General features: G+C 38.6%; 1 protein-coding gene across 3 annotated transcripts in view, besides 1 other annotated feature; it reads left to right on the top strand.

Moving 5' to 3' along the window:
- Window positions 1–21,897, top strand: part of CSMD1 (CUB and Sushi multiple domains 1) — a 2,059,554-nt gene that overhangs the window by 666,424 nt on the left and 1,371,233 nt on the right. The gene's annotated exons all lie outside the window — the stretch shown is intronic.
- Window positions 3,470–3,764: a silencer, noted in NCBI's record as "tiled region #9772; K562 Repressive non-DNase unmatched - State 24:Quies". NCBI's record gives its function as "represses a minimal TATA promoter and a strong SV40 promoter by Sharpr-MPRA in K562 cells {active_cell/tissue: K562}" and the evidence as "EXISTENCE:reporter gene assay evidence [ECO:0000049][PMID:27701403]".

Here is a 21,897-nt window from a genome sequence, read left to right as displayed (position 1 = left end):
TAATTTTTGTAAGTCCCCTGTTAACTGTTACCTTATGTGTGACAACCGAAATTTGTATAAATTAAGAAATTAAAACTACTCAAAAGTAGAAACCAGAAGTAATAAAAAGAAATCATGCCTCCATAGCTTATGTGCACTAAGAAAGAGAGAAGTCTCAGACCGCACAGTTGACTTAACTGAGTCGTGGGGAAGTGGTAATTCACAGTTAAGAAGAGAATTCCTCTCAAAAAAAAAAAAAAAAAAAAAAATTGTATTGAGTGCAATGTAATTGGGTGTGTAGAATTTGGGTCAAATACAAGCTTACTTACTGTCTTATAATGTGACCTCGAATGAGGCATTTAACATCTTTGAGTATTTCTTCATTCATAAATGGACATAGTGACTTGTTTGCATAGTTTCTGTTACATATCATGTAAATTATGGAGTGCAGAGCTTAGTACTTGGATCACCAATAACTGACGCTAAGTACCTCTTATCATTTCCCAAATGAATAAAGTTTACTGGTAAATGTTAAAACAAGAATTTCATTCAACTTCTAGATCACAGTGGAAAATGTGCCAATTATGTGGTGAGCAAGGAAAATTAGGGACCTGGAAGCAAAAGGAAAGATTTTAAAGTTTTTTGTTTTACAAAATGTGTCATCTTTCAAACAAAAATGTACCTTACTTTATACTTACAGGAGACATTTTAGCAAGAAAAGTTACATTTGGTTTTATGATTAAATAAAAATAATGTATGTAACAATGTTTTCGGACAGTAGGTCTCTTGTTATTCATTTTAAACTTCTAATACCTATGTGTAAACAAAATACATTCTAGAAACATGCATCGTGGAGCTTTTTGTTGTTTTTTGTTGTTGTTGTTTTTGGGGGCTTTTTCCCCTTTCTGACTTGGTAACATCTTTGTAGTATGAGTGACAGTGATGAGCGCCCCACAGGAAAGCCAACATTGGAGCTGGAACAGCCTGACACATCACACTGCAAGAAAGGCACTCAGCACAGAGAATGGCTCATCCCCAGTTACCTACAGGCAGCAACCTGGAGGCTGCAAACAATCCGACTGATTGTGCCAGTGTTCTGCAATTTGCCCAAGGAAATACATTAGCAGAGTCTCCCCATTTTCATTAACCTTTCTTTTAACTCTCTGCCTATTCTGATTCTCTCTTAAAATTGCTCTTGAAAAGAAGGAAGAGAAAAATGTAAAAGAGATACTTAAAGAGCAATTGACTGTAAAATGGACGTTTGTATTAAACACTAATGAAAACTAAGCTATATCATTTTTAAAGATATGTAATGTGTTATTTCTGCATTATATATACAATAATGTATCTAACATTTGTTGTCTAGTAGACCTTGTCAATGATAACAGATATTACAGCTGGATTCCCCTCTCCTGTTCAAGAATATGCTACAACCTCATCTCTTATTTGAAGTCGTCTTCTGAGTTGGAATCCATACCACTGACCTTCTGTGGTCTGGTTCTCCCAATTCTTTCGTTTTCCTTCTCAGGTTCCTTCATTAACCTATTTTTTCACCTGCACTTCCAAAGTAGACATTCCTTGAGATTATGGCTCCTAACTTACTTTTCCTCCTATACATGGTCTATGTAAAATAGTCCAAGTTAAATCTTTCCCAAAGCTTCACCTGTGACCTTTTTTTTTCAGAAGAATCTCAAAGCCAAAGTTTTCTTGGTGATTTCTTAGCTGAATTCCATTTCTGCGTACCTCATCTTCTTCTGAAGATGGGCATTACTATTCCATCAAGTCCCCATTTGGTGTTACCCAAACGGAATGTTTCATGTTCTTGAGTCCAGACCTTTTCCTTTGGTCTTTGAGGAAACGTTGGGTAGATGCTTTTATCCTATATGTTCTGAGGTTTCTTACTGTTTTCTCCGTAGGAGAGAAAAAGAAGTTTGGAATTGCTTCTAACGTTCACTTTCCTTTATGCCCACCTTTGATTACTCATTATGCACTACCTCTCGTTTATGGACCTTTTTTCCTATCTCCTCTTGATACTTCCTTATGTCAAGCATATATGCATTCTTTACCTCTTGCTCAGTAGCTGCCTAATTGGTTTTCCCATCTTTTTATCTGCGCTGAAAATCTGAGTGCCTCTCGCCACATTGGTGATCGTCGTCAGGTTGCCCCATGTCTGAAATCGCAAGCCCTGTATTTTCAAAGGACTTATCCGCTGTCCTTGCTATGTCTGAGTCTCCCACCGTATGTGAAGATGATCTGCAGTCTTTGGTCATCTTAGACCAATGGTTTTCAAAGCAGTGTTCCCAAATCGGCAGCATTGGCATCCCCAGGGAGCTTGTTAGAAAGCCAAATTCTCTGGCACAACTCTAAACTGAATATTTCAGAAACGCTGACGGTAGGGCCCTGAGCTCTGATTTACCACTCCGTTCTGGTAATGCTGATGAATGCTAGTGTTGGAGAATCCCGTGTTAGGTCAACAAATATTGCTTTAAAAATAGCGAGCCAACGTCTTTACTGAGTTCGTACCCCAGGTGAAGGAAATTGTGCTACTGTAGACTGATATGACCGTGAACAGAAAAAGGTGCCCCAGCCAGCATGTAAATCTGCTCTATTATATTCTGACCATGTGCATATACAGAACGGAACTCTCAATTCCAGCCATCAGGTGGAATAAGCTTTTGTTAATCTACAGTCGTTCTCAGGGTCATCAGCATTTTAAATGGGCCAGCATTTAAAATGGGAAGTGGAGAGGGGTGCAACAGGAATAACATTCACGCCTTCTCAGTGTTGGATTCCATCTATAATCACTGAGTTTTATCCTGCATCTCGCTTTCTGGCCCTAGAGATGAGCATGATGGTTGTTGTGTAATTTGGGTAGTTTGGGAAAAAATCTTCAGATGCTTTCATGTTGCCCTGCCTACTATAATAATTCTTACCTCACCGGAAAAGCTAACAAGGTAGGCATGCTTTTGGTTGCCATGGATATTCATGCAAAGTGAGTATGCAAAAATGAGCAGACAAACTTCAGCCACAGGAAGCGCTTGAAAGTAGACGATTCTTACATGAAGTAAATACCATGTATTGCCTGGCTTCTGTAGAGTTCCTTCTAAGGCAGATCACAGTGGGATTTGGAGGTCTGTCTCTTGGGATTATCTAAGACTTCCTAGACAAGAGAACCCTCCACCTCCAACTACTGGTTTCTTGCTAGGTTGCCATTTAATTAATGGAATACTTGGTTAGTGGGGAGGAACAGAAGAAGGTCTTGAAAGTCGCACATTCCTGGTTCAGGGGAATCCCTGGAAATGTATCATCTGTTTTCATGACAGTTTCCTTTGTTATATTTATTTTTCTCCTCTTTCCCCTGTGTCTTGTCAGCATTCATGATTGCATACAATGTGCAGTATCATCAAGTGGGTTACTGATGTCTGATTTTTCCCTCCTGGCTCCACTGGATGCGTAACTACAAGCCATTTTAAGGAGCCACAGTGCAGCACTCACTCAATGAGTGACCACACCAGGAATGCAATGATGTGTCAACAGTGATATAATGATATCCTTTCCAAATACAATTGCCTCCTTCCCGTGAAGAGGCCCCATACCTAGAATCAACTCAGGACTCAGAGTGCCTTGAGGATCCAGGACCCTGAGGTGTGCTGGGATGGGAGTCCCTCCTCTTCTTTGTCTTGCTTATGTTCTCTAGCAAGACATGGGAAGCAGGCGCTAGGTAAACACACTTTCGATGTTTGTTTATGGGGCTGAAACAAAATAAACTGAAACCCTTCATCCATATATAACAACACCTTATGGAAAACAGGGCAAATTGGATTTTGCCCTTATATCCTCTGAGCTGGATCTTCCAGGAGCAGTGTTTGTTTGTTTTCTTCTGTATGGGAGGTCATAAATGGCCACTGACCTGTCTTGTTCCTAGTAGGTTTATCAGTCCTTTGAAATTATTCCCTGGCATTGGCCACCAGAATGCACCTCCTGGGGGTGGAGAAGAACCCTCTTTTGTGTGCACTTCATCTGCTTCCAAGAAGATTTCAGAAAAGAAGCTTGGTTTGCTGTGTTCACTGACAAAGGCTAGGCTTCTAGCTTTCCTGCCAGGGTGAGGAACCCCTCCTTGCTCCTGCCCCACCTCTGGTGTCCCATCCATGGAATGGCTGCTACTACAGGACCTTCCGAGTATTGATTTCTTTCGAGGTTGCTGTTTAGTTAATGGAATACGCAGTTAGTGATGAGGAAGAGGAAAAGGTCTCAGAACTCACATTCTTGGTGTAGGGAAATCTCTGCAGATGCATCATACATTCCGATGACACAGTTTACTTTGTTCTATATTTTTTATACTATTTCCACTGTTTGTCAGCATTGATAATTGCACAGCAGCAGTTAAGGCAGGAGATTTTTAGGTGATGTCATTGGGAAGGTAAAAGGTGTAAAATCTAAGCTTGGCCTCGGGTAAATTTGAACTACACAGAGGAACTGGCCTGCTAAGGGTGTGGCTGTGCCTGCCATTCCCAGGATCACAGTGAAGTCCTTGAGGCAGCAGGCTGCACTGACAGCCCAGTAGTCTGAATGCCTGTTGCTGGGACACCTGCCACCCCCAGGCTCAGAACTCCAAGACTCAAAATGTGGAGTTTCTTCATAGAAGTTGCCTTAAGCTAAACTCTCAGTACAAGGCACCTGGAGGAGGTTATTAGGAGCTGCCCATCCTTTATGGTTCAATAAGTCAAGATAGGCAGGTCTGGCCAGGGGAAGGGGGGGATATTTGAGTGAGCGGATGTGAAATACCCAAATCATACCCTCTCGGCTTCCTTCTATTTTATACATTTCCTATATAATTCTTGTTTGTAGAGTCCACTGCCCCTTATTTGTTTTTTCTCCTTATGTCTTCTGGTTTCTGTCGCACTGTTGACTTTGGGTATCAGCCACTCAAACACCTTGGAAAGCAGATATATGACCCAATATAGATCACCCACACTGGTCAGGATCCTTATGCCAGGCAACATTTCTGATAACAGGTTTCAGAGAAAGCCCTAGTCCCATTATGTATGGTTTGTTGTGAATGGTTACTTTGAATCAAATGGGGTGACCTGTGAAGAAGACATGGAACAAGGCTGTGAAATTAGGAAGGCCATGCTGTACAGGAAAGAACATAAGTTTATATTTCTCACTTTTCATGAATTTTAGGGGTTGAAGTACTATATAGAGTAAGACTGTGTGAAATAAGTCTGTTGAACCTGCTACAGAACTTCCGTTTAAGCAAAATTGCTTATACATAATGCCTAACTTCTCTTACAATCACATGGGTCTGCATAGGAGTTTAGAACTGGAAATTAGAATTGTATAACCAAAGCTTGTCATTGTACAAATGAGGAAACAACTTTGGAACCACCAATTAATGTCTCATTAAAATCATATGATTTTTCCATTCCTTCGCTGCTTAACTCTCTATTTGTAGGCTGGTCAAAATCTTTCTATTCTCAGATTCCTGCTGCATTTTATTTTATTTTATATTTTAGTGTAGTTTTTTGAGACGGAGTCTCGCTCTGTCACCCAGGCTGGGTTGCAGGGGCACGATCTAGGCTCACTGCAACCTCCACCTCCAGGGTTCAAGCGATTCTCCTGCCTCAGCCTCCTGAGTAGCTGGGACTACAAAAGCCTGGCTAATTTTTGTGTGTTTGTAGGAGAGTTGGGGTTTCACCATGTTGGCCAGGCTGGTCTTGTACTCCTGAAGTCAAGTGATCCGCCTACCTCTGCCTTCCAAAGTGCTGGTATTACAGGCACGAGCCCCGTGCCTGGCCCCTACTGCATTTTCAACCTTGTCACCATCTCTTTGAAAATAAGCAATATTCTGTAGACAGTGATTATTCTTAGATTTTTCTCAAATATGTCCAGCATTTTTCTGCTTCTACAACATGTCTTTTATGTTGAAATTTTCCTTCATCAAAATCTTACTTACTCTCTTCAGGGCCTACCTCAAATGTTATGTTTTTATACAGCCTTCCCTGAACCCACAACTGCATACAGCTTTCACTCTTTTAATCCCTAAGAGCTATGGGTTTTTCCTACTCTTATGATAGAATATTCTGCCATATGTAGTCACCTTGCTAATAGGTGAGATGCTTTTGCCAACTGGGGGAATTCTAATTCCACTTTAAACTCTCTCCAGTGCTCAGATTGTTGCAAAAAAAAGTACTCTCTTCAAATATGCAGATAACATGAAATTGAATTCAGGTCTCACTTATGTTTAAACTATTTTAAATACAGTATGTTTTCAAATAAAATTACATGTGAATTATCTATATGGAACCATAGAGTGAAAGGAAATTGTTAAAATAGGAAACTTTTAGCAATGTTATTTCAAATGTAAAGAAATCGGAGGATAAAATGATCCAATATTTTATATTAAGTATTTATGTAATTAAAGAGTTCATTTCAGTCTATGATGAAAAGTATCTGTGAATTAGGCATTTAAAATATGAACTAAATTAATGGAATAGCTTTTTTGATTTTCTTCTTGAAGATAATTAACAATGTCTATGACCCTGGTAATTTCATAGTGATAATGTGAAAAAATGCAGAAATAAAAATATACTGTAATAAAAGGCAAAAGTCTAATAAATCACAATGATGATATATTATTTATTCATTTCTTCTGAATGAATTACGTGTCAAGTAGTGTAACTACACTACCAAAAAAGATATTTAGTACTTTGTAAATTTAGAAAAAAAATTGTAAATTTTCAAAGCATCCTTTTTGAAAGTACTCTTAATCGTATAGTAATAATTTGGAAACTTTAATCAACAAAGACATTGATTCCTATCACTATCTTAGGAATGTTGAACAGCTCTTTTATCTTTACCACTATTAAACTTTGCAGAGGTAGAGCAGAAAGGGGAGGAAAAGGTATTTGGTGCCTGTTATATACCAGATACTCACACCATTTATTGTCTGTTATATCTGTGATATACCAGATACTCATCCCTTTAATCCTTAACACATCCCTCTGCTGTGGGTTTGTTTGTCTAACTTGCATCACTGAGGAATTAAGAGAGTGATAAGGTAAGATTCCCAAGGTCACAAGTCAATAAGTGGGAGCAGCAGGTTTGGGATGAAAAAAACTCTTCTGATTGCTCCGTTCTTATGCTTTAACTGCCAGCGCGGGAGAGGAGAGAAGACGTATGGCCATTTCAGGAGGAAACAATAGGCAAGAGACTGGGTCAGCTCTGAACATACCAACACACCGAGGATGATCAGTGGGCCACAGGGACTAGCTGTAGGCACGCCTCATGAACGTGTTCATGCACTGGACACACATGTTGAACCCTACACTTTGATCACTGTGCGAGGTGACAGGATAAAAAATAGGTTTGACACTCTTCCTGCCTTTGATTGATTTAGACTAGAGTCTAGACAAAAACTCAATATAAGCGTATGACAAGACTTCATAAGAGATCTGTGTGTAAAACAAAATGTGAAAATATGAATGTGTATGGGAAATAAATAATTTACAGAGAAACTGGTATAAGGAGGCAATGCTGAAACTGGACCTGGCAGAGTGGCTAGGACCTCACACTGGGAGGAGAGGATACAAAGAAGAAGATACTATAAGTGAAAAACAAAACAAACATAAGTGTGTTTGTGTCTTTATAGTAGAATGATTTATAATCCTTTGGGTTATAGTAATGGGATTGTTGGGTCAAATGGTAGGTCTAGTTCTAGATCCTTGAGGAATCACCAATCCAAATGCCCGTCAATGATAGACTGGGTAAATAAAATGTGGCACATACACACCATGGAATACTATGCAGCCATAAAAAAGGATGAGTTCATGTCCTTTGCAGGACATCGATGAAGCTGTAAACCATCATTCTCAGCAAAGTAACACAAGAACAGAAAGCCAAACACCGCATGTTCTCACTCATAAGTGGGAGTTGAACAAAGAGAACACATGGACACAGGGAGGGGAACATCACCCACTGGGGCCTGTTGGGGGGTGGGGGTCTAGGGGAGGAATAGCATTAGGAAAAATATCTAATGTAGATCGCAGGTTGATAGGTGCAGAAAACCATCATGGCACGTGTCTACCTATGTCACAAACCTGCACATTCTACACATGTACCCTCACAACTTAAAGTATAATAATAATAAAAAAGGTTTATTTGTGTGATGACTTGTGGAAGGAAAACAAATAGCCTGAAGGTATTATAAGGTGAACACTCTTGTATTCATTTTATTTTCCTACTTGTTGTGGGTCTTATTTTCCTGTTTCTTTTCATGCCTGGTAATTTTTGCTTAGATGCGAGATATCACACATTTTACCTTGTTAAGTGCTGGATATTTTTGCATTTCTCTAAATAAAGTTTTGTGCTTTGTTCTGTTACACAGTTAAATTACTTGCAAAGGGTTGGATTTTTTTGAACATGTAATGTTTGTTGGGTAAAACCAACGAAGTCTTTTGTTTACTACTCATTTTTTTCATTGTTGAGGTGGTACTTTGAGTACTTAACCCAATACTCCTATTTTATGATATTTTTCCACTCTGCCTGTAAAAATCCAAACATTGGCCTTGTGCAAGCTCTGAAGATGACTCCCTACTGCTTTCCGGTGGATCTTTCTGTAGCCTGAGCTCAGCCTTGGGTACCTCTGTTACCTGCATAATATACAGGTGAGCTCTCAGCTGAAGACCCCGAGGGTCCTCTACACATCTCTTGTGAAGCTCTCTTCTCTCTCTGGTATTTTGCCCGGCAACTCTAGCAGCCTTTGGCCCCCCGGCAAGTCTCAGTTCTTTTTCCTCTAATCCAAGAACTGCCAAATTCTGCTTGGATTGCTTCCCTTCTCTGTTCCCTGGCCTCTCTTTCCAGGCAGTGAACTGGGTAAGTAATTCACCCTTTTGTTTTCTTCTCTCAGGAATCACCACTCTGTATTTCCTGTTATTCAACAGCCAACAATTAATGTTTCCTTTATTTCTGTGACTTTGTTTGTTTGTTTGTTTATTTTCTGCTCTGAGAGTAAATCTGGTCCCTGCTATCCTAGCAAAGCCTTAAGAAGGAGTAGCTATTATTTGGATTTTGGAAAGAAGTGTAGGTATATTGGTTAGGGCTCACGTATCGATTATGGGCCCCAGAGGCTCAGTATTTCAAAGAAACATTCAGCAAAAGGAAAGGAGGAAAATCATAATATGCTAAGACTTTTTAATTCATTTAGAAGAAACTGTTTAAAAGCAAGGAAAGGACATTACTAAGATAAATTGAAGGAAAGCAAAAGGGAAAAATGACTGTCAGGATTTAGGGTCACTTTTCATCAAAATCTGTAATTGGAATTACTGGGGGAAATTGACTAACAGTTTAAATTTTCAGGTATTTTCCCAATTTTGATTTAATCTGCTTTTAAAATCCTCCTTACTTTGTTACTATGTGCATGTATATGTGAGGACTACTAATGAAGTAAAAGATGTTTATTTGGTCAAACAAGGAGTTTGTACCTTCAAGCCGCTTTGTTAGACTTAAGGCCTCAAGCTGTTTAATATGAAGATGATAGATTGTCATTATTGTGCTTTCATTTTGTTTTTAATAAAGAGAGTAAAATTAAAAACCCACTTCTGACTAAAGTTTCAGAAAGTACGTTCATTTAGGACAGATCTCTGATGTTATCTATCTTGTAAGATGCTTTATGATTTATGGGAGGATGTTAGCTTTCAAATAGTTTAAAATTAACTTGCTTGTAAATACAATGCCAATATATGGTATCTATTGGTTGATCTGTACAACCAGTACAGAGAGTGGCTTTTTTTTTTTTTTGAGATTTTAAAATAATATTAAGCCTTTGAGTTAAAAATCAGTGATATCAAAAACAATCAGTGACGTCTTAAATTTAGAAGGTGTGTCACTTTTAATTACTAATTCAATAAGGGTAAACATTTCAATCAACATGTTTTTTATTCTTTTTAGTGTAAAAGCTCTTGTTAACGTAACTTTATTAATCAGTACTTACTCAAGTTTTCTCGCCAGTTGAGTAGGTCCTGAATGCAAGCTTTGTTTCATTACTTGCTAATGACCTTTTAACTCAATGTAATTTTCACAATATTACTCTTTCTCACACACACAGAAACTAAAATGCGCAAATAGAGATGTGTACGAGAGTGTGCACATGTGTGCATAAAAAGAGAGAGGAGGGATGGATGACCTAATGGTAAAGATTTTAGATTTTGTCTGCAAAGATTAGAAAGTAAAAACTTTAATTAAGGAAAAATGTTACCAAGTGTCATTTCTTTCTACAGTGACAAAAAAGTTCTAATAGTTGTAATAATTATCATTCACATGTAAACCCATAGAAGGATAGTAACAATATTAGAATGTTCATATTATTTCATAAATAACAATGTAGTTGCATAAAATTTTGGAATGGGTACAGCTTTACAGACAGGCTAAACTAAATGTCACACTTACGTGAGAAAAAACGAACGCACAATTTTATATATTGCTAATAGAATTACTCCTGGATTCTAATTGTATATCCAAATATTTATTCAATAACTATTATAAAATACCAAATACCTTAAATTCGGAACGGCAACATATTACATCATTCTTGACATTTTGTTCTCCTTTCCAACACATCTGAAAGACAGAACATATTTTCATCCTGCCAAAATTCGGTTTAACTTGGTCAAAAATACATTAAACAAATAATTACTGAATGCCTACAATGTATCAGGCACTTTACTATATAAAAGAAAACTTCTGGGGCAGTGTGGAAGTAACCTAAATGGTACAGACATGTACTCAGCTGAGCTATCGCTTCTCTTTTATGTTACCTCACTTCTAAGTCTATAAAGAACTATTGATTTAAACTTCCTGCTTGTCAGTAAATAAAATTGTCTCTCTCTCTCTCTCTTTCTCTCTCTCTCCCCTCTCTCCTCTCTCTCTCTTGAGTACTGACACTTAACTTGGACACTTTAAATCTATCTCTGGAAAATGAAGAAACAGCCAAGAAAAGTCACTTACCTTAGCAGGCATAGTGATTGTGCATGTACATGCCTTACACTGGCAGCGTATAGACATCTGTTACATTATATGACAACAGAGATACACTAACTGGTTTTGTAACCATTTGAGTTTTACAGCAGGGTAGAATGAAAGAGCCACAGCTTATAACACAGACGTGGGAGTCTAATTTCACTGCACCCCACGTTAGCAAGCAGGAAATTTATACAAATCACACCAGTGCTTTCAGCTTTCTTTTAAAATCATACATAGTAAAAAAAAGAAAAATTCCCTGCCTACCTTACCAGATTGTTATGTAAATAAAATATAACCCATTGAGCTGCTTTATAAACTGTAAAACTTTACAAGGGATTTGGGGATTATTATTCAACCTTAGATGATGATGATGTGCTTGGCCAGTTGGAAACCTCTTGCCTGTGATAAACACTAGTAGCTGATTAATTCCACAGGGCTTGTATGTTTTCAGTGCCGTTTACAAGTGTAGTTTTTTGCCCCAACAGTGTATTGGCATGCTCAATAAGAGTCGATTGTATTTACTCTTGAGTTTTCGTATGAATCTGACATGTGGCATATTTTCATTCAGTACCTGGCTTTTCTATTCCTTTGAAGATTCCCCCACCCCAAGATTTGGAGTATAACCACAAAACATCACTAATAGAAGCAGCTACCAATTATTTTGCGTTTACCGAGTGCTGACTTTGAGGGAAGCACAATATAGATTTACTTCTGGATTTGAAAAGGGTTTTGGGGGCGTTCGACCACTTTCTTATTTAACTATCGTTCTGAAAATCCCATTATTTTGAAACACATAAAGGAAGCCCCCCCCTTAGTTTGCATTTGAGTCCTTCATCTTGACACAGTGTACCCCATTGTCGTTCACCTTCTGTCACGGGTGTCTCTGATGTCTACACCAAGTCTTAGGACTCGATGGAATATTAGTGGAAAGTTATTAATTATATATAATTATTTTACCAGAAATCTATTATGGAATAATAGTTCTATTTGTATAGGTTGGTGCAAAAATCGTTGAGGTTTTCAGCATCGAAAGTAATGGCGAAAACCACAGTTATTTCACATCAACCTAATATATGAAGAAATTGTCTTGGTAAGTCCAAGAATTAACAGAGGTCTGTGGCAGCCCAGAGTATAAGACCATAACCTAAGAAACCGCTTGGAATAAAATATGCAGATTATTTTCTCTGCAGCATTCCTTGAGATATCTTACAGATCACAACAAATTCAGATTCGAGGATGAAAAATCACTACAAATGGAAGACCATTAGAAAATCATAAAATTTTAGAATATGGGGTCCTGCTCTCTTGAAATTTAGCTAATCTACATAATTGAAAGGGAGTATTTGGATTGTTGAAGGTTTTTGAATGGTTAAGAGGGTTAACAATAATGAGTGGTTGGCTTTTAATAACCCATTTTATTTTCTACTCAAGGATTCATATATTTCTCAGTGGGATATTTTCAAATTTCAATAATGCCTGAATATTTAAAGGAAAGAAAAAAGAATAAAAGATGACATTCACAAAATTTCCCGTTCTTTATTTAGGAGTTAAGAGAAGGTTATATTTCATTTTGTACATTTGAGTGCATCTTTAGCTTTATAAAACCTGTTTTTAAAATTTTACTAAGAAGACTGAGAATATAATATGAAACAAATTTTTGAAAACGCTTCTGAAGAATAAAGAAAAAAAGTTTGAATTACTTTATGCAAAATATGTTTTGAAATGAAATGACCAGCTAGTTGCTTTCATTCAGTTTCTTTTTTGCACAGCTCAATCTATACCTACAAATATGACTTCAATGGCTATTTTATAATCATCATATTTATGCTGATGTAAACCTTGATTCTATAATAAAATCATTTTATCTTTGGAAACCAAGTTTACTTTATTCATAATATCTGGCAAAGTTCTGGATGGAAGATTGGTTCTCCTTAAGCACTGTGTGATTTTTAGTTAATTTCTAGAAATCTAATTTTCTACTTTATTGGTTCACTTTTTATTTATCCTTTATCTTGAGTCAGGCCTTGGAATATTTTTTTTGCATTCACTGATTTATTTTACAAATATTTGCTGAACATGGGCCACTCATCCCTTGCTTGGGGACATATTAGTGAATGAGGCAGGCTGGTACCTGCCACCTGGGGCTCACAGTGCAGCAACAGCAGCTAGAAGACGCTGTGGACCTTAGGGTAAAAGGGTCTCCTCGCATACTGTCTCAGTTTTCATAAACCCTACCTCACTCTGGTCTTCAAGCCAGAGCTGGGCTTTCCTTTGAGCAGAAAGTGCCACCTCTGGTAGGTGTGGAAGCTGGGCAGAAAGTGTCATCTGTCTCCGGTAGGTGTGGATGAGGGCAGAGAATGAGTGGTGCTCTTGCGATGGTGTAAGAAGCCCTGTCCTCTTCCCTCCCTCGAGATGCCCATTCAAATGGTCGGGGCAGTGGGAAGCCAACGCAGTCATGATTAGAAGAGGGACCTCTTTTCTCAGGCTGGGGCTGTCAGTACTATTAGCCATGTGGGAAGGTGAAACCTCCTCCCACCATGTAGAATGTCAACCCCACTTTTCCTGTGGTATAATCTCTGTGTTTTTAGGAGCCCAATTATGTTCTTCACTCCAACAGGAAGCGTTTTCTAACACCCAGCTTGTCGCAGCTCCCTCCTCTTACAAAATCCTTTGCCCTTTTCCTGTGGTCTTTATTCATAAATGCTGAATCTTTTCTGAGGATAAATCATTAGAAGACATGGGTCAGATGTGTAAATGAGAAAACAGGATGTATGTGTGTACGTAAGAACACATAAAAACTTGAAAGGCATTTTGACCTAACACTTAACTCACAAATGGTAATGTAATAGTACATTACATTGCTTTTGTGTGTGTGTGTGTGTGTGTGTGAAAATGTAATACAACCAGTAGCATAAGTAAAAGTGATTGTGGACTGGAGTTTAGAATCATCTTTAGTATTTCGGGAGAAATCCCAAGGCATTAGCAAAGTCCAGACTGCTTAGAAAGGTATTCAAGGAACGGATGCAATTGAAATTGGCTTATATTTTAAAACACCCCATACTGCTTCCTGAAATAGAACACTTATTTCTGTTAGTTTGCCTGTGAACTCTGGCCCTGACAGAAATATGTAGGAAATGTTCTATGGCAGGTGGAGGCACTGGCTGTTGGGCTAGTGAATGTATTTTCTTCTTCTTTAATCCTATGTACTTTGTCGATTGTAACTAAGAGTTTGTGCTGTTGTATTCCATGTGGCATTGTGTTGTGACTTAACTATTAACGTGACTGCAGTCTTGAAAATAATGAGGGAACCAAGGAATGAGATGCTTTTAAGCCTTTAGACTTCGGATGTGTTGACAGTCTCTGCATGTCGGATACATGGTGGTATCAGTGTTGAATCCCCCATCTCCAGGACACAGAAAGAAAGCAAGTTTAACTGGAATTATTATTATTATTATCATTATTATTATTATTATTATTTTGAGACGGATTCTCACTTTGTTGCCCAGGCTGGAGTGCAGGGGCGCAGTCTCGGCTCGCTGCAACCTCTGCCTCCCAGGTTCAAGTGACTCTCCTGACTCAGCCTCCCAAGTAGCTGGGATTACAGGTGTGCACCACCATGCCTAGCTAATTTTTGTATTTTTAGTAGAGATGAGGTTTCACCATATTGGTCAGGCTAGTCTCGAACTCCTGACCTTTTGATCCGCCTGCCTTGGCCTCCCAAAACGCTGGAATTACAGGTGTGAGCCACTGTGCCCGGCCTAGTTCTGCTTTTTTTAAGTCATATGACCTTAGAGTAAATGTCTGAAACTTTCAGAGCTCCTGGTTTCCCTCTCTAAAGTGAATTTACATGTGTTGATGTTTAAATGGCATCTGCATGTTTAAAACAGACAGTCCACATTGACAGTTAATTCCAACATTCTTCTTTCCCTCCCATAACACGTATTTCCTCCTGATGTGACCTACGCGTGATTTTTTTTTTTTTTTTCATTTTGACATGTAAGACCTTTGGGAGCTCTTCGGGTTCCTGCATTGCTAACATTTTCAGAGGAGAATTAAATGTCACAGGGGTCCCGTCAGGCATCTTCACACTAAACGCATTCTCAAAAGCAGAGTGTGTGTCACGCATAGTGACAATGATGGTCTGCTACCCCCATGATGGATTCCTCCCTCTCTAGGGACTCAGCTAGCTATTAACCAGATTCTTCGCATTCTCTTCCTGGGGCACTAGAGGAAAGTGACTGAAAATTTAGCCAACTAGGTTTTTTCAGGGTTGTTAAGCTTTTCCTGTTATTATTCCCTAGGTTTAAAAAATGTACATTTAGTAGATTAGAAATTAAAGACCAGTTCCAGCTTGCTCACTGTCTAAGGGACCAATAAGGGACCATAAGAATGTTGTGTTTCTATATTAGCTCTATGGCTATCATGGGACTATATTCATTTGTAGTTTATTCTATAGAAATTTATGTGAATCATTCTCTAAATTCTACCTCCCCATCTTCATTTCCCCGCAAAACTTACCTTGCAGGTCAAATTATGGGCTCTTCCTCTGGGCTTCCAAATTATTTATGCCAATCAGTGTTATTGTTTTTGCCACGTGTGATGAAAGCTTTTTGTTTTTTAATGTTTTTGAGATGGGGTTTCACTCTTACCGCCTTGCCTGGCGCGATCTCAGCTAACTGCAACCTCCACCACCCTGGTTCAAGCAATTATCCTGCTTCAGCCTCCGGAGTAGCTGGGATTACAGGTATCTGCCACCACGCCTGGCTCATTTTTTCGTTAGTAGAAATGGGGTTTCGTCAGGTTGGCCAGGCTGGTCTCAAACTCCTGACCTCAGGTGATCCACTCACCTCGGCCTCCCAAAGTGTTGGGATTACAGGCGTGAGACACTGTGCCTGGCCAACAACTTTAATACATCTGTTGCTCATAAATAGAACGACTGTGAGCCCTTTCAATTTCATCATTCTCAATAAGTAACATTGATAATAAAACTGGAAACATAGAGTTCTATATGTGTATATATATATATACGCGCATATATATACGTATATATATACGCATATATATATACGCGCATATATATACACGCATATATATGTATGTATATATATATATATATTTGTTCCATTAAAAGTAATTAGCTTATTTTGGAGTTTAAATTGCTTTTAAAAAAGTAGGTATGATCATGTGTGTTAAAATACCTATATGAGTATACATCAATGCTAAAGTTTGCCAATAAATTAGGATTGCAATATGATCAGTTACGCTATCTATGCATTCTACACATGCATATAGATAGTGTGTATGTTCATTGTGTCTTCTGACTAAATGCACGTAGGAAGCGTGTGTAAAGATAATATATTTTGATTTTTAAAAGGGGGGTATTGATAACTTTTTTAACTCCTGGAAATTGACACACATTCTACGTATTTCTTTACTAGCTAGAAATGACAATGATTTCAACACACTATAATAATTTCATAGCAATGCATTTCTTTTTTATATGCTGAATAATTTTTATTTTGTTTTCTAAGTTTCAGGTTTAGGGATACAAGTGAAGGTTTGTTACACAGGTAAATAAGTGTCATGGGGGTTCGTTGCATGTATTATTTGATCACCCAGGTATTATACCCAGTACCTAACAGTGATCTTTTCCGCTCCTCTCCTTCGCACTCTCCACCATCCACTAGGCCCTAGTGTGTGTTGTTCCCCTCTATGTGTTCCCCTCTATGAACTCTCATAATTTAGATTCTACTTTTTTTTTTTTTTTTTTGAGACTGAGTCTTGCTTTGTTGCCCAGGCTGGAGTGCTGTGGCACAATCTCGGCTCACTGCAGCCTCTGCCTCCCAGGTTCAAGCAATTCTCCTGTCTAAGCTTCCCAAGTAGCTGGGACTACAGGCGCCCACAACCACACCTGGCTCAGTTTTATATTTTTAGTAGAGACAGGGTTTCACCGTATTGGTCAGGCTGGTCTCGAACTCCTGATCTCAGGTGATCTGCCCAACTTGGCCTTCTGAAATGCTGGGATTACAGCTGTGAGCCACGATGTCCAGACTTAGATTCCACTCATAAGTGAAACATGTATTTGGTTTTCTGTTCCTGCATTAGTTTGCCAAGAATAATGGCCTCCAGCTCCATCCATGTTGCTGCAAAGGACTTGATCGCATTCCTTTTTATGGCTGCATAGTATTCCATGGTGTACATGTGCCACATTTTCTTTATCTAATCTGTCATTGATGGACATTTAGGTTGATTCCGTGCCTTTGCTGTTGTGAACGGTGCTATAATGAACATTCACGTGCATGTGTCTTTATGGTGGAATGATTTATATTCCACTGGGCTTACAGCCAGTCACGGTATTGCTGGGTTGAGTGGCAGTTCAGCTTCTAGCTCTTTGAAGATATGCCACATTGCTTTCCACAGTAGTTGAACTAATTTACACTCCCACCAGTGGTGTATAAGTGTTCCCTTTTCTCCACATCCTTGCCACTTTCTATTATCTTTGTACTTTTCAGTAGCCATTCCGACTGGTAGGAGATAGTATCTCACTGAGGTTTTGATTTGCATTTCTCTAATGATTAGTGATACTGAGCTTTTTTTCATATGCTTGTTGGCCACATGTAAGTTTTCTTTTGAGAAGAAGGCATTTCTTTTGAGATAGTCTTGCTGCTGAAATAAGCAAAGGTGAGATCTAATGTGAATTTCTTCCTTTGGTAAGGCTGTATATGGACACAGTCTCCCTCTCCATGCTGGAGCTACTCTCTCCATGGTATACAATGCTTGCGTGTCTTGCAGGTTCTATGGTTGTTGTGTCTTTGTTTTGCCACCCCTAAATTTTATAGTCTCGGTCAAATGTGTCTGACTCATTTTTCCTAACATACCATGTTGATTTAACATCATCGAGAGCTATGAAAACTTTCAAAAATGTAAATGTCATACAAGTATTGAGATTTTATTGTGTCCAAAGATATTTTATTTAATGTGGAAGAAAAGAAGTTTCAAATTAATAAACAGCAGATAAAAGATAACGCATGCTGTTCATCCTTCCTACTTCTGCACAATTTATCTTTGTTGAATACCAAAATGTTTAAATGACTGGGCATCATGTAGGCTGTGAGAAACACTGTCTGTGAACCCTTTGACCAAGATACCCATTCATTCCAGTGTGGAGGCCTTTTCCCTTCCACACCCACCCATAAGAATTTCAGCTCTAAGCAGCCATGATAACAGTTCTAACTTCATATTTTTCTGTGTGATAAGTTAATTGCTAATTCCTGAATCCTCCACTAGATGGAAAGGAGATTACCATTGTTTCTTTATGGTCTGATGCAATACCTGGGTGTTAGAAACGTGAAGCAGTTACTAGGAGCAGGGATGAATGGGAGATAAGTGAATCTCTGAGAGGTGATAATTGCAGACCTTAGCATTCCTGATACTTCATCTTTCCATTACCCTCTGTCTTCTAAGGCTTTTCATACCTTTTAGCGTGTTTTCCAAACTCCTTAGTCTGGTGTGAAAATAAAGCACTATGTAAAAATAGGGGTAACTATAATCGACTATCATGTTTCTAATGAGCTTCTTAAATCACATTTCATAGTTGAAGCACATGTAAGACCCTCTGAAGTGATGCTCAGTGTCTGCAGAGAAAATACTCAGACAGCTATATTTAAAATGAAGTAAGGGCGAAGGGACCTATATGGAGGTGAGGTTTCTATGCTTCATTGATCTAGTAAAACGTTAATATCAATAGACTGTGATAGGTTATTTTGTATGTGTTGTGTATGTTACAATCCCTAGAGTAAAATCTAAAAAAATGTGTAAGGTGATATGCTCAAATACGGTCTAATTTCAGTAGCAGTATGCCCCTTCCCAAGGGAGTTGTACTAAAATGGGAGTGCTATTAGGGAATTTCATATGAACTGAGAGTTTGGCTGCTTGATGTGAGCCTATGATTTATACTTTGTCTGTGTTACAGGATTTACCTTTTAGTTTAGAAATTTGATGAGAGAAAATGCATTTAATATTTATTTTTTCTCGTCTTTCATAATATTAAAATTATAAAAATTTTGAATTTAATTTCTTTCAAATTTCCAAAGCTTTTGAGGGTCTTCTCTAAGGGACTACAGAACAAAAGATTAGTTTTTTTCCTAAAAAAACTTCTCATCTCATTTTATAAAATAACATGCTAAATAGACAGTGCAATTATATTGTATCTGAAGAAGCTGAATAATTAGTTGGTGTGAATTAATTAAAATTATGGGTCTTGCACTTAACGGTAATATCAAACTGACCCTAGGAATTGAAAGTAACCTTCAGAATCTCCACACATCTTCAGAAAGTTGTTGAATTGGCCTGTGTGTGCAAAGTACACCCTGACATTGATTAAACTAGATAGAACAAGTGACTACAAAAATAACCTAACATAAAAAATAATAAAAAGTAATATAGGTGTGAAGAATGACATCAATAATCATTTGCTGTTATGCATTTTCTCACCTAGTTTTAGGAATTAGTTCAACATTATGTCAGAAGGTTACAGGGAGTATTTGAGAGTCTTTAAAAAAGGAGAAATAAATGGACCTTTGATATTTTCTGAGTATTTTAAACCATGTGTTTATAGCTATAATATAATCATTACATGCCTTTGATATGGGGTGTCATTGCTTCATAAATGAAGGAAACAATAGCATAATAACTCATCTGTGAATTAGTTTTGTAAATAATCTTTAGTCATCACGCTCAAACAGCCAGTCTTACACATCTCAGATAAATTACTCTAAATCATGCAAATGCAATTAAACTCCAAAAGCACCCAGATATTTGCGTAAAGCCTCTTATAAACTGTTCTTGGAATAAGAATCCTTAGTTTTCCAAAGCAGGCTTAACAAATTCTCTCCATTATTCTAAGGAGCATTTCCTGTAAGAGCACAGGAAGATATATCGAAGACAACGTCCAACTCTGCTAAACACAGCAGGGTCTCTGAAGTACTGAAATGGCCTTTTGCCGTGTTTCACATTGGCCCTCGCTGAAGATCACATCCTTTTCTAAACCTTTTTTCCCATCATCAGACTTTCCACATAACACACACACACATGCACGAATACACCACAGACTGTGCACAGAACACACACTACACACAGTGCACACGCACCACAAACGATACACACCAGATACACCACCCCACACATACACTTCAAACTTCACACACACCATCAACTATACACAACAGACACACACACACATAAAAAAAACTATACATGACTGCATACCACACACATCCCACACAGTCTCAAGTGACTTCACCTCCTAACTCACAGAGATATTGAGGAACATTCGAAGAAACGCTCTTGTTTCTCTAAGTAAAACACATCTTCCTGCTTTGCCACCCTCTCCACTTCTGCCACTGTTCGAATAAAGACCAAAGTGTGTAACTGAGGCTGAAAGTCAGATCCATGTCTGGCGTTGCTCTGTAGTATGCCCACCATCACTGTTTACATCCCAGCCTCCTTGAGCCTCTGTAATTTCTTCAGGTGTGTCTCTCCTCTGTTACACCGAAGACCCTTGCATCCGGGGGTCCTCTTGCTAAAAACGTGCCTCTGCTGCCTCCTCTCTACTGAACACTTCTTGCTCAGTGAAGATTTCTGTTGAGTTTCACCACAGTTAAATCATCATATTATAATTTTTCAGACTGTAGTGTAGAGAGGTAAACTGACTCTGGACCTTATTCCACCCTTGATAAACTCTCTGGTTGCCCATGTAGGTATTCATTCCCACTCATGGTCAAGAGCATCGTGCTGTTCGTTTGCAAAGTCACCAACAAATTTGTATTTTAACCCATTTCCCATCGTCCTTGAGATGCAAAATTCGATAAGCTTGCTTATTTCACAAGTTGGGTGGGTACAGAGGCTGGACTCTGTAAACACAGATAAGCAGAGGCAACATTTTAAAATATGCTATTACTTGAACAGACCAGGCATGGTTGACATAACAGGGTAGTGAAGTTTTATTTCCTGTTAATATCCTTGGGGGATGTAACATGGGCTTTCAGAAGTTGATGATAGCATCTCAACTTGGTGTGATACGAGAATTGTGGTGGAGAAAAGAGTGCAGGAGGCCAAGCTGTGCTCCACCACCTCTCCCATTGCTCTGACTCATTTTCAGCCTCAATGTGGACATGTGTGATGCCTGTGCTAGGGGATTAATATATATATGTGAGAGATATCAACAGCCCTCTGTGCATGATTAGCATATGTTAGACTCACAAATGAGCTGTATTATAAAAATAATGAGCCGTAGAAGGGGGTTGATACAGTATTAAATGGAGCCTGTGCTGAAGATGAGAAGTAGAAATGGGAACTCAGTACAGAGACAAGGAGGCAGCCGGCCTTGTAGAGATAAAACAATTGAAATTGGCAATAGTGGGAGCAGGGTTGTGATGAGGATACCATAAACCCCACAGTGGACATGGTGCAGGCGACGAAGAGGGGCTGAACCAGGGCGGTGACAGATGGGAAAAGACAGTCGATCTGAGAGATGCTTGGGGGTAGGATCGACAGATACTGAATCCCACACTGAGGATTTTGAAGTATATTTTTAGCGTAAGGAAAGCATAACTGCAGATTTTGCAAAAAGAGATTGAAAAATTATTAGATTTTTTTTAAATCTGGAGATGTTAGGGATTGATTGGTGCTATGGAGAATGGAAGAAAGAAGGGCTGATCTGTGGACTCGCACCAGAACACTACCCTGCTGCGGTCGGGCACTCATTTAGAGGTGCTGCTCACTATATGAGGACGTTTTGGAAGAGGAGAGCATGTGAATTGTACAATCACCTACATGTGATCGACAATGGATACATCCAGATGTGTGAATGAGATTGAAGAGGCCAAGAAGGAAAGCATC

The sequence above is a fragment of the Homo sapiens genome, chromosome 8 (assembly GCF_000001405.40).
Source record: "Homo sapiens chromosome 8, GRCh38.p14 Primary Assembly".
NCBI lineage: Eukaryota > Metazoa > Chordata > Mammalia > Primates > Hominidae > Homo > Homo sapiens.
The sequence above is the reverse complement of the archived record's forward strand: the minus strand, read 5'-3'. Positions and strand labels throughout refer to the sequence as shown.